The sequence below is a fragment of the Homo sapiens genome, chromosome 16, assembly GCF_000001405.40.
Source record: "Homo sapiens chromosome 16, GRCh38.p14 Primary Assembly".
Taxonomy (NCBI): Eukaryota; Metazoa; Chordata; class Mammalia; order Primates; family Hominidae; genus Homo; species Homo sapiens.
In genome coordinates, this window is record NC_000016.10 from 60,475,647 (window position 1) to 60,490,409 (window position 14,763).

General features: G+C 34.3%; 1 long non-coding RNA gene across 6 annotated transcripts in view; it reads left to right on the forward strand.

Moving 5' to 3' along the window:
• Positions 1 to 14,763, forward strand: part of LOC101927605 (uncharacterized) — a 187,474-nt gene that overhangs the window by 115,865 nt on the left and 56,846 nt on the right. For all 6 annotated transcript variants that reach the window (XR_001752229.1, XR_001752231.1, XR_002957906.2 and 3 more), the window contains one exon: positions 1,815 to 1,902. This is a non-coding gene — a long non-coding RNA (uncharacterized LOC101927605). The remainder of the gene's footprint in view (positions 1 to 1,814; positions 1,903 to 14,763) is intronic.

The following is a 14,763-nucleotide window of genomic DNA, read 5'->3' on the forward strand; positions in this document are numbered from 1 at the left end:
CAAAATACATTCCTCCTTGTTACTCTGTATTTTGTGAAGATATCATATGTTTTACTTCTTCTTTAAACAATGGAAACAAACGAAGCGTACTAAGAAAGGGATCTATGTATTCCTACATCTTTAAGACTTCAAAATAATTATTAGATAGCCATTCAGATCAAACTTGAGGAAATCGTGAGGTTATTAGAAAGGTCATTGTCATTTCTTTGTTCATTAATTATTGCTTTAAGTGTCTGTGAACTACTTAACATTTAGTAGTACAGGGTAATTTGGTATTTTCTTGATTCTTTGGATTCTAAGTGTCAAAGGCCTCTTAACTCATTTGTTGTTCAACATACGTTGATCTTGCGCGTACTATGTGCCAGGTTCTCCGTTGGGTATTAAATGATACAACAGCAATCACAAAGTCAGATAGGTTCCTGCCCTCAAGAAACTAACTACAGTATTCCAAATTCAATATAAACCTTTTGCATTTAATTATTGAAACTAGTCATGTTCTTTAAAGGCTCAAAATGTGGAGACAAGTGCAATAATAAAAAATGTTAATGCTATATGATTCATTCATATTAGTTTTAAAAAATATTTTCTATGTGCCAGGCACCGTATTAGATGTTGAGGATACAGTGACTAGCAAAAAAAAATCCTGCTCTTATGGTCTAGTGGGAAAAATTAAATAGTTGAATAATTTCAATATTAGACAGTAGATCCAGAGCTACCTCTGCAACGTCATATATAGGATATTCTGTCAGCATACCTGAGGTGTGCGATTCAGAGAAGCAGCAGCAGCACATGTGTTGAAGAATGACTCAAAGGCAGCCAGGCAAAGAGTGGTCCAAAGGGGAAAAATGATCAAGGGATAGGGGATGAGGCCCCATATTGTAGAAGATAGCATAGAATACAAGAGATAGAGAAGAGTGAAATAAGGATATAGGGATGAGCTATAGCCTAATCATGAAGGTCTCTGTAAGCTTTCCTAAGATATTTGGAATTGATGAAAAAGGTAAAAGCCAATACTAAAGAGTTTTAAGCCAGGGAATTGTGATTAATTTTTCACCTTAGATACTGGCTGCTGTATGGAAACGGTTTGATGCAGAAACTATTCATATGTTGCATAAAATGCACAGATAGAGAGATAGGCTTTGGAATTATGAGCAGAGTCTTAGAGTAGTAGTTTTAATGCATGCACCCAGACATTCTCCAGTTGTGTACCCTTTATATTATAACATTCTCTAGGTTATTCCTAGGGTATGCCTAGTAGATCAAAAAAGTAGTGGTGTAAAGCATGGTAAATCAAAGAAATCCATTTCTTGTTCAAATTCAAATGCTTAGCAAACTCTACCCTACCACTAGCAATTGCTTTAGTGGAGAGTTAAGATGCCTAATGTAATTAAAGCCATAAAAATAAATGTTTCAGCAAATAAATATTTAAATGCCAGCAAGTGCAAAATGATTAATACTATATAACTCTTAATATTGTTAAGGTGCTATGAGGATGATCTCATTTGATCCTCTCCACAACCCTATGAGATATAGACAATTATTTTTTAAATCACCTATTGAATAAACTGAAATTCAGAAAGATTAAGTAAGTTGGCCAGTAGTACAGCTAGTGGGCAGAAAGGCCAGGATTCAAAACCAGATTGGTTTTATTTCTCCTTTAAAAAAGCAGAAATGAGCTTATTTTATGAAAACTATGGGACAGAAACTCCTGAAATGCCAGAGTCAGTTCCTAGACTTTTGCCTTAAGTTTTTGACCCTTGATCTCTTAAATAGGAAAAGATATTGGGATGACTTTTTTCCATCTCTCTGTACAGAAAAAATGCAGAAGAGGAAAACCTCCATATGTGAAGCTATGGCAAGGGAGTCTCCCCACCCCGCGCTCCAACAGAGTCTGGAGATAAAGTAAGTTTGAGAAGCTAGAAAGTGTTTTTCCCCATTATCTCCCAAACACTGTCATTTGGCTGCATGCAGATTTCACTCTGGCTTTGGCAAATGTGTCCCTTTATGTAACAATAAACAATTATATTGAAAAGCAAGATTGGAGAAAAACATATATAGTATCATTATTAAAACTTTGTGATGATCTTATCAACAAAATTGAAGTTAAACCCTTGATTTATTGTATGTTTTATTATGTCTTCACCCCAGGGAAGGTAATTTGACTTTCTTGATGTTGCCTTCTTTTTCTCTCCTTTCAAAGCTATGATTAAGAACTAATTTATTTAGATCTGTCTGTGATTAGTTGCATGATTCTGCTCCTTGTTGAAATTAATTTTCAGACACTTTAATTGATAGTACCTGTACTATATTTAATGCATTTTGAGGTGCTAGAATAAAAATGTTGCTTGTTGAAATATTCACATATTCACTCTGCTAGCTAGAACACTGATGTATTCTATATCATCTTTTTTTCTTGATTTTATGGAGGAAGAAGATTTAAGTCAATTGTTTGGTTTATTTTCATTTATATTAGGGAAAAATAAGAAAAATTATTTTACAAAATAATACAGTTGTTCTTAAGGACCATAAATGGGCTTTGTGAAGCTTTTGAAATTATGTAAGCACATGTGGGCGTGCACATGCACACACACACACACACACACACACTGATTACTGGGAATGTATCATATAGGTACTTTACTTCAAAAATTTTCAGTGCCTAATCTACTTTTGTATGCTACATGTTTATTAAATCATCTATTTGCTTTAAAAAATACACACTAAGATAATCAATGTCTAAATCACAATTCCTAGGATTTGTGTTTTGAGGCTTATCTAGGATTCAGATCCAAGGTATAATCAGGCTTACACTATGCAACAGGGATTTTGCTAGATATATTAACTAGTTGTCTTTTAACCCTCATGAAACCTTTGTGAGGTTGCATTGCCATGACTATTTTCAAGATGAAAAGATTGAAAAGTTAAATTGACACATAGGGGCTGGTTATTAATTACAGGTTTAGCCATGCTCAAACATTTCAGAAGCTTATATATTTTTATAAATATAATAAGGTCTTTTCTGTTATATTCCTGAATTTTGTTATATTATTTTTTCAGTTAATATCTTCTTGACTTTTTAATTTATTTGTTTTCCATGAGAGATTTCTGTTACAAGCAAAATACATATAGATTCAAATCTATTGTTCTGTTTTATTCTTGAATGTTGTATTGTTAGAAATTATCAGACTTTCTTTGAATTTCCTGGTCTTCTATTTTGTTCCTCTGAGGAAATATGATGTTACTAACTCATCACTCACTGAACTGTATTAAATACCACATTACATACTTTTGACATTCATCATAATAATCAAGCAACTTGTACTGCCTAGTATTTTATTGAACGATCTTTCATATTGTAATGTTACAGTCAAATATTGTGTATTTTAAAGTATTTTAAAATCATTCCACTTTGTGACTGAAAGTATCCTGACAGAAATGCATAGGGAAAAGAGCAATGCAATTTAAATGTCACATTTATCCCTTGCAGTAAATTCTACATTCAGGCAGTTGTAGTCTCAGGGAGGTTTTTCTCTGTCAGGTATCAGCTCTCTGTTAGTTCATACCATAACTTTCACGAAGACTTTCAGAGGCATAGGAAACATATGACTTTAGAATGTGGGCAGTAACAGGCAGATTTTAAAAAACAGCTATTATTATTATTTACTTAATGTGTTAGAGAGCAACCTCTGTACATTTTTCTTCAGAAGTTGATATTTTTCATCTAGATACTTGCTCCATACCCTAGTGAAAGGATGGGAGCTTTCCTAGATTAGTTCACCTCGTGTATCTTTTTCTTAGAAAAATTAGAAATGCTTAAAAAATAAAGCAATGTCTAGCCTAAAACTGTTCAATAATGTCTAGTTTTATTTTCCTTCCAGACCTCTCCTCGACAGGAAGCTTACATTTCCCTGCCACCTTGAAGTTAGGCATAGTCACCTGAACTTCTTTGCCCAATGAAATGTGAATGTAATAAGATGATGTATATGACTGCTAGGTGAATGCATTTAATCACTGGTGTTGTCCCTCCTCTCTATTTCTGGGTTTCTTGTTAATGGAAGCATTACAAGTTGATTTGGAAGTGCAATGCTGAGCCATCACTTAGAGGACAGTTGCTCTAGAGAATCTTCCCACTTACCACCAATTCACTGTGAGCAGGAAACAAAGCTTTGTTGTGTTATGTCTTTAAAATTTGGGGTTGGCTGTTAGCTTATCACAATGTAGCCTGTCCTTTGTTTTAGGATTGACAATACAATCCCAAGATGATGCTTTGCCATTAGACATATCATAAGGGCATCAATATAGCCTAAATTTTAGTTCAAAAAAACACTCTCTTTTTACAGATTGTTAATTAATATATAAACATCCTCCTTCTTTTTCCTCAACATTTCATCTACACTTTTCCCAGCACTGTTAGTATTTTCCCTGCTATGTGTGAAGACTTTAGAATATGTAGAATAGCAGAATATGTATATTGAATAAGATACAATAAAATACTGTTTCAAAGTTTAAAATGAGAAAGCATCTGTCCAATTCACATGGCCCATCCAACTAAGTAAAATAATACCAAAGTCACTCAATAAATAAACTGTTAATGGAAACCTTGAATTCATAACTATCTGATCCTAAACTTCACATTATTTGCACTAAAATCGTAACCTTTTCCTAGCTAATGAAACCTAGCTTCTAAAGTTGCCATGAGGCTTAAATGGGATATCATGTTCAAAGCAACCAGTCCAGATTCTGGCATCAAGAAATTCTCAATAAATGTTAATTTATCTTCGGAAAAACTCAAGATGCCCCTTAAATTTTAATCAGGTACCCTTACATATTAAAATTTTCAAACAGCAATCATTACGGTCCTCAGTGATTAGTGTCTTTTCCACAATAGATCATTGTGCTCTTTCCAGACCTTTAAAATTAAATTAAAACTTAATCCCGCGTCCTTTTGTTTCAGCTTGCTGAAATCTGAACCTGTGCCTGAATCTGGATTACAAAACAACTAAAATATATAGTGGACTTTATTTACGTGAGACTGTTTTCTAGTTGAGATCACTCCTTTTGGCATTATATTGATAAATTGTGGAGTAATCTGTTCCCAAATTCCAACTCCATCAGCAAAATCACTTTAAGTAGCCTTGATAAAACACACACACACACACACACACAGATATATAGAGAGTCTGAATTTTCCAACTATATTTAAATGTACACACATCTTTCTTTTATTGATCTGTACTTTTGATATTGATTTAATCTTTAGGATATATTTCATTGTCTCCTAAACATGGCATTTTATTTATTTTTGTTACTTCTCCAGGCAAAAACGCCAGTTTCATGGTTTATATTAGAGATTTGTTAATGAAATATATATTTCAGGTGAATGTTAAGCAAAAAGTTGTGGTGGATTTGACGTCCATTAGGCAACCCAGGCAAGGTTGACATTTTGTTGTTTTTCTTTTGTAATATTGATGCAGTTTTTCCCCTGTTAAGCTATTTACCACACCAAAAGCATATGAATACAGCATATTTAAAAAGCATATTTACTGTTTTACTTTTTTAATACTTACTCAATATTTATCACTGAGTTTCTACTTGTAGATTAGGAAATGCATTTACAAACACTTAGAATATTGAAATTTAAAGTGTTTTTAAACAAAATTTTCTTATGCCCTTTCAGTTTGCACAGATGAAACCCAAGATGCAGAAAGAGACTACATGAAAACAATGTGTTTGCTTATAGCTTACAACTTGTCGTAGCCATATCCCTACTTAGGAAGTGGAATGCAGACAGGTAGTTTCAGCCTCTGAGAAGAAATAAGACTTACCCTTTCCTGAACACTTCACATGAATTCTGGACTCTAGCATGACTGAATCTTTCCTCTTACACTTACTAGCTGTATAAGGAATCTTAAATATTTCTGGAACGAGATAAAACATAAATAGGCAAACCGTCACAGAAAACAACTACAAACAAACACACTAAACTAAACTAAATTTGTTATATTGCCTTTAAAAAATTCACTTAAGCTATCTCATTCTTAGTGTCTCATCTTTCCCATTGGGTTGTTGAGAAATCAAATGTGAATGCATTATAAAGGGTAAAGTACTTTTCCAATGTAAGCCAGACTTGGCATCCAGATGGACACAAGGGAATTTAAATATGCAAAGTGAAACTTTGGAATATTGAATTGCAGGGCATAAGGATAAACTTCTACTCTAAGAATGTGAACTCTGCTGCTAAATTGCCTGGAATTTAATCTCAGCTGCTTGATGTACTAGCCGTAAACTGACCTTGGACATGCTACTTAATCTCCCTTTGTCAAGGATTTTTCACCCTTGAAAAAGATGGGATAATAATACTTCTGAATTCATAAATTTATCATAAAAAGTAAATAACTTATTACATAAAAAATAACCAGGAGAGCCAGGCAGCTTTGCATGTAGTATGCAAGGTATAACAAACATAAACTAACACACTTTTTATTGTTGTTTCAGTATTATTATTTTCAGACCGCTAGGAACCTCAAGCCACTTTAAGTTCCACATGGCTTCTGACTAAAAGTTATATAAGAAAATCTTTTTTGCATGTAGTTGATGATGTGGGCTTGATTTATTGTTCCTTTAGCCACTGCCCATCTTGTATGATGGTAGTATCTCCACATTTTAACTGACCTTCATCGTCATGTCCATAATTCGCACTCCGTATCTTAGGCCCTGGCTAGGCTCTGCTCACAGCTTTCATCAGTTTAACTTCATATATTTTAGACTTTTGGTAATCAGGCCATGTAGCCGCTTTTTAATTTAATCTCTAGGAATTTCTCACATTCTGAACAGCTTGGAGCAGGGTATTCTCTGTGACAAGAAGAAGACAGCATTTCAAATGTGAAGAATGTTATTTTCTTTCCTTGCTCTCACACTGTGGGCAGCAACCTCATCTCTCCCTGCCCCCAGCCCATATAGTTATTACAGAATTTGAATGCAATTTTCAAATCAAGATTTAACTAATCTCAATTCCATGCAGTGAAACTCACATCATGATATATCATTGAGCAGAAATCCATTTAATTTGTATTAATCTAATACTATATTTTGAAAGATCACTTTGTTTGACTATTAACAGTGCTGGTAAACTAATAATTATGCACAGGATTGATTAATTACGTTTGGCTGTTAACAATTTGATTTTACCATTTTAGCTTGACATTTATCGAAGGTTTGTCTGCTGTTGGGCTGATGATTTGAATGATACATGTTAATTTGCATCCATCATTCCCTTTCATTACTCATATTAACTGTATTTGTAAGCATTGGGTAGTCTATAGTCGGCATTCAAGAGGTACTTCGGAAGCCAATCTCTACCCAAATCTTTGCTTTATTGCTATAGATTATTAAGCAGTTCCAACTTACAGACACAAAGAATGACTTGGGATTCAAATTAAAACGAGTTTAAATAGGCTGCAAAAGCTTTCCTCAGCAGAGTGACTTCTGCATTAAAAAGCCAAATGAATGCATATCACCATTCAGGCAGAGGAACCACCATTTTCTACACTCTAAGCTGTAATGTCTACTCTTAAAAAATATAATAGAATTTACATAAAATATTAAGTGAATTGCATATTATATCACTGCACATCGTACCTGTTTGATACATAAAAGTAAAAACTTGTTTAGTTTATCTTTTGTTAGTGCATTATCCATCAGATCATGCTCAATTGTGCTTAAAAGACAAAACAAATATTATCTAAGCCTTAAAATAGTCATGTATTCATTCATTCATTCAATAAATCAATTATTTGTCTTTTTAAGCATTCATTCAACTACTTGCTGGACTCTGCTAGCCCCTGGTCGGCATTTATTAATTATCTCTTTTCCATCCATTTCCCTTTTCTTCCTTCCCAAAAATACTCTATATTTTCCAGTCAAGCAATTTTGTACATTTTCATTTCTAGACGTGGATCCTGATTAACTTAAGCTAATCAAAATTACCATCACTCTGTCCGCAATGATAGGCTCAGACTGAACTTGAAGGCCAAAATTCTCAGTAACGATATAAGAGCTATGGGTATCTCTATATCAAATGCCATAGTGCGTTCTTTCACAATCCTGGAATTTCCTAGAAACAAACAAGGGGGAGAGAGAGAGAGAGAGAAACAAAAATACAGCAAACAAAACCGACTACCATATTAACAATTGTTATTAATAAAGGTTAATGTTTATCATTTACTTTTGTTGGTGTTTGTTTTTGAGATGGAGTCTTGCTCTGAAGCCCGGGCTGGAGTGCAGTGCTGACGGCAACCTCTGCCTCCTGTGTTCAAGCGATTCTCCTGCCTCAGCCTCCCGGGTGGCTGGGATTACATGCCCGTGCCACCATGCCAGGCTAATTTTTGTATTTTTAGTGGAGACGGGGTTTTGCCATGTTGGCCAGGCTGGTCTGGAACTCCTGACCTCAGGAGATGCACCCGCCTTGGCCTCCCAAAGTGCTGGGATTACATGAGTGAGCCACTGTGCCTGGCCATTTTCATTTACTTTGTATTAAATATCGACTGAAATAATAAAGTTGTGTGATAGACAACACAAAATCTCAGTAGAATAATAAGCAGTTATGCTCAGATATCAGGGATGGTCCTGTAGGCAGCTTCTCTGTTTCTCACTTGGTGTACTCAGATATCTGGAGTTTGGCTAGCTGTCAGCTGATTAGAATGGCCTTGATTAGAATGGTTGGAGTGACTCACCTCTGTGTGTCTCTCTTCCTCCTCCTGGGGCCACTGGCTTAGCCCAGGTATGTCCTTCACATGGCAATAGAGAGGGAAAGAGTGAAGAAGCCCAAGAGCCCTTCTAACCCTCCTTTTGTGTGATGCCTGTTAAGATTCACTTGGCCCAAAGCAAACATGGCTGAACTCAGACTCAGAAAGGAAAGGCACTACAAAGTAGATGGCAAAGGGGATAGAACCACGAAGTGTTGAAGAATTGGGACCATTATTATCATCTGCAATATATTTAATTTTTACAAAAGCTACAATACAAAAAAAAAATTATTTCTACAGTGACCTCAACTGCTCCTGTTTTTATTTCTCTATCAGAATCTTAGAATTTATTTTCTCCTTTCTCTTTCATGGTTATCATTCTGTACCCTTTAATTTAGCTACCGCCGCATATAATCATTGTACTACTCCTTGGGGTCACCCAAGTGTATAGTTTGTGGGGAGAATGATACTTTCCTTGCCTGGAAGACCCCTTCCCCTGCAGGAAAATCAAGGTAAAATAGAGAAAAGGATGATATAATAGGATGAAAAGAAGTCTGCATTGTGGAATTATATTTTTTTAATCTTATAGCTTTTATTTAACATTTAGGAGTTTAGGAATGTGTTTGTATACTTCACTCCCCAATTTCTTCCAATGTACTGTGAAAGCCAACATCACTTTAGCTTGGAACACCATTTGGTAGATCATATTTGATAACATATTTGAGAGTCCCAGGCCAGCATTTTGATTCCCGTGTGACAAATAAAGGTAAACACATTTTTCTTCTCAACTCTCCCTCTCTGTGTAGATAGAAACATATAGGTTACTTTTTTTTTTCTAGCACGTGTACATGCCTCAGGCCTAAAAAGAATTTATCTCAATGAAAAAAGCTCTTTTACTTTTCTTCCATTTCAGAAACTATTACCAGGATACAATTATGAGCCATTCTTTTCATTAAAATACCGAACTTTGCCAATCTGTTTTGATTTTTAATTGTATCTTTTACAACGTGATGCCAAAGTGCTTTCTTCTCTAGCATCGGCCAAGAAAGGAATGTAGAGACAGGTACATAAAAGGGTAGCCTGACTGTCTTGTCCATTTGGGAATTGTGTCTTGCCATCTGCTTTTAGATGTATTCTGTTTTCTGTTAAAAATCCAAGTACCCTCTAGCCATAGATTCCACACAGAGCTTCTAATAAGGTGAACTTTGCTTTAGGATTTCTCTGTTGTGGATGAAGTATTCCCTTCCTGCTGAGGTCACCCTTCTTGATCCAGGTGCTGATTTTTTGTGCTGCTCTTGATTTACTTATATTGATACTGGAGTCCTTGGTATGTGTTATATTGAAATATTACTAATGTATGAACTGTAACATTAAATTTCTAATCTAATCAATCAATGGCATATATATGCAGTAGACGCTTGGCTAGTAAAAAGATTAATTACCATGTGCAATGAAAACTAACTCTCTATAAGGTGAAATACTGCATGTCTCTCACAGAAAGATGGAAGCCTGAACACTGTGTTAAGCTAATGACTACTTCTGCCATTCAACCATATGGATTGCCTTTAAGACAAACTGAAATGAAGATTAAAGGCATGTAAAATCAACTCTCTATTAAAGCAGTTAGGGCTTTTCTCCAGATTCAACAGAAAAATTATGCAATCTGTTGTGAAACCAGGCACTTGTCTCCCAGATGGTGCCCAGAATCTATCTAAGCAAACACTTCTTCCCTGTTCTGTGTAACAAACTGGGCATATTTTTTATTTTCTGTGCTTGATTATGCATCTGAAGACATTTACACGGGAAGGATCTTGTAGAGTTGTTGTGGATTTGGGTTGTAAAACTTCACAATATTGTGGTGTTATACATTTTTGAGAGCAAACCTGAAGTTATAAAGTAAAAGATGATGTCATTTTCTGAGATGTACTATGTCCCTGATTTTTTAGCTTTTCTTTTCCAAAAATATTCTGCATGCTACTATTCAGAAAGTAAGGCCATGAATCTCTCAGATTGTTGATAATCTCCTGTTAATTAATGTGGACATGATTGCTTTTTTGGAGGCCTATTGTGAAATAAATTATTGGTAGTAGGGTACATGATTTTAATTATTATTGGGAGAATTTTGTACAGAAAGATTTTTATCATTTGAATGAATGCCTGAAACAGTTATAATTTTTTTCTAGATGTACAGCAAATATTCTTGTTTTATATATATGAAATCCTGATTGTTGGTGAACAATATTGGGCATAAAGATTAGGCTACATTCTCCTCGACATCTTTTCCACCTATTTTACCTGGTTCTCCTTGCTTTCTTCATATCCAGCATTCAATCTTGTCTTTCTTTGGCTTGACTGACTCCTTGCATCCTCATGCTCACCTCAGATTACACAAAGAGTTTCTCATTACTTAGAATTGAGTTAGGTGCAGTTATTTTCTTCTAAGGTCCCTGGAATTTACTGTTTCAGACATAGCACATTGTCTGCTGCAAAAAGTGAGTCTATAAAGAAGACAAATGAACTGTATTTAAACTTTATCTTCTATTTCTTCAGTCTTTAGCCAGCAAAATTTTGGTCCATGATAGGCACTCATATATTTTTGTTTGCTTGCTTGCTTGATTGGCTATATATCAATGAATAATGAATGAATACATGAATAAATTGAAGACATCAGCTTGATTGGCTATATGTCAATGAATAAGGAATGAATAAATGAATAAATTAATGGCATCACTTGTCATTGATTTATTATATATAAAATATATAAAATATATATAATACATAGTAAATATAAGAAATATATAAATATATAATATATAGTAAATATAAATATATATAAGAAATATATATACACATATATATATTTCTGCTTTTGACATGTAAAGACCTTGGAAACATTGCTCCCACCCTTACAACAAGAAAAAAAATAGCTGAACAAACTGAAAATCAATGACTTTTCCTAAATACTTCTGAGAATTGAGGTCACACAACAAATCACCACCCCAAAAACTGGGGAGGCAGGCTAATACAGAGAATATATACCAATCTACTTGAAGCAGAAATCACAAGAGCCTGGAACTGATAGAAACATTTAAATGTATTGCTGAAGGCTGACTATGGACTAGTTTAGAAGTTAAAACTCTGGAGGGGGCCAAGCAAAGGGAGGCCCCCACACTTTTGTAGGTTTTACCTCCAGGAGCCCCACCAAGTTTTCATGGTGAAAATTGGAGAAAAATCCCCTCAAGTTTGGTCAGGGTGAAGGTGAAAGTAACAATTATGAAATATGCCCAGATCTTCCTGTAAAACAAAGGCATACTCAGAAAGAGAGAAGACTTCATCAGAGCATTAGGTACATGAGGGAAGCAAAATGCCCAAATCCAGCTTTCTGTACCGTCTATCTCCCTTAAGACGGGAAAATGCTAAGAAGCACTTGCAAGGGCCACAGCCTATAAACACAGGACACTAAAAGACTAAGACCTAAATATAAAATTTTGGAATCCTCTCCTCCCCCCCACACCTTACCACCACATCAACAGGAGTCCTGTATAACAGTGGGATATAACTGCAGTACCTGCAAGGCTAGGACTCTAAGAAGGACTTTCTAAGGGAAACCCACAAATAACAAAGGAGACAAAATCAAGGATACAAGAGTAAATTTGAGCTTTTGACATCTGTAGATGCAGCAAAGAGTAAACATAGCTAACTCTTAAAAAGATAAACTCTCACCCAAAGATCTATCTACCTCATTTCCTTTTACTATATAAATTATGTTCAGTTTTCGATAAAAATTACAAGACAGCTAAAAGGCAAGAAAAAAAACAAAATCAGAAAAGAAAAAGTAAATATCAGGACTGGACTCAGATATGGCAAAGATTTTGTAATGGTCACGCCAATAAACAAAGACTGATATTCTAAAGGATATAATTTAAAAAATATAAAATATGCAAGAAGTAATGAGTAATATAAGAGAAGTTATGAAACTTTTAGGAAAATATCAAAAGAAAATGTTAGACACAACAAAAATTCCCAACCTGAAAAGGAAACGAAAGAGAAAGGAAAAAAAAATAGGATAGAATATTGAAGAATGATGGGGTCATTTAAAAGGTTTAAGATACGCATCATGAGAATACCAGAAAGAGAAGAAAGAATAAATCCAGAGAAATGTTTGAAGTAATAATGGCTTAAAACTTTCTAAAATTAACGACAAAAAAAGCACCCATAAATCCAGGAAGTTCACAGAATACTAATCAGGATAAATACCAACAAAATCTACAGTTAGGTGTATTATATTCAAACTGCAGAAAACCAAAGACAAAGAAAAAATCCTGGAAAGAGCCAGAGGGTATAAAATGCATGAACTATACAGGAACAAGTATAAGGATCAATCAGACTTCTTGTCAGCCATGAAAGCAAGAAGAGAATAGAATAAAATATTTAAAATGCTTAAAAGACCTAGGATTTTGTATCCAGTGAAATTATCCTTCAAGAGTATAGGAGAAATGAAGACTTCCATAGATAAACACAAAATAAAGGAATTTCATCCATAAAAGTTTCCTTGCAAAGAATATCAAAAGAAGTTTTTCAGAGAAAATGAAATTCTTACAGGTCAGAAACTTGGTTCTATAGGAAAAAAGGAAGAGTGTCAGAGAAGGTATAAATGAAGATAAAATACTATCTTTATATTTCTTATTCCTGAATCTGATCTAGTAGATAACTGTTAAAAGTACTAATAGTAACAACATATCATGTGATTATTAAAAAGGTATAAGAAAAATAATTAGCAGCAATATCATAAGTAATTAGAAGGAAGAATTGAGAATAGTCTGTTTTAAATTACCTATACTACCTTGAAGTGGTGTAGTGCATTTGAAAGTGGACTTGCATTAGTGGTAAATGTATATTGGAAATGCTAGGACAAACACTAATATTTTTTAAATTATGGTTCCCCTTCTAAGAAATGAGAGAAAAATAGAATCATATAACATGCTCATTTAAAAGCAGAGAAGGCAAAAAATGGTGAAGATTTTAAAACAGAAAGAACAAGTGTAGCAAATAGAGAAAACTTATAAACATGACAGATATTCATTGAACTATACCAATGATCACTTTAAATGTGAATAGTCTAACTTTGCCAATTAAAAGACAGTGACTGTCAGAGTGGAAGAAAAACAACAACCAATTACATACTGTTTCTGAGTTTATAGGTAAGTTACAAGGTAAGTTTACAGACTTTACATGTAAAAATGCAGGTTAAAAGTGAAGGGTGAACTCTCATTCATTGCTAGTTGGAATGCAAAATGGTACAGCCACTCCTAGTTTGACAGTTTCTTACAAAACTAAACATATTCATATTATATAATCTGATTCAACAATTGTGCTCCTTGGCATTTACTCAAATGAGTTGAAAACTTATGTCCACACAGAAACCTTCTTATGAATGTTTATAACAACTTTATTCATAATTGCCAAACCTGGAATCAACCAAGATGGCCTTCCAAAGCTGACTGGATAAGCAAACTGTGGCATGTTCATACAGGGCAATATTATTCATTACAAGGTTCTGTCATGTTTTCTCTGGCTTGGTAGTTTATTTCTTGGTAGAAATATTGCTTAGTGTGAAAATGCATATTGCTTAAATACATATTGCTTAGTGAAAAGAGCCAATCTAAATAGATTACATATCACATTATCCTGACTATATAACATTCTGGAAAAGACAACACTACAGAGGCAACAAAAAAGTTAGTGGTTGCTGAATATTCTAGTGGAGGTGGGGAGGAAAGAATAAGTGGAGCACAGGGGATTTGGGGGGGCAATACAACTATATAAAATTAAAATTAATATAAATATATTAATAATTATGTATTTGTCAAACCCATAGAAATGTACAACACAAAAAGTAAAGCTTAATGTAAACCATGGACCATAATATAAGAAGAATGCATCAATATTGTTTCATTAGTTATAATGAGTATACTGCACTAATGAAAGTTGCTCATGAGGGGTAATTGTGTGAGAGTGG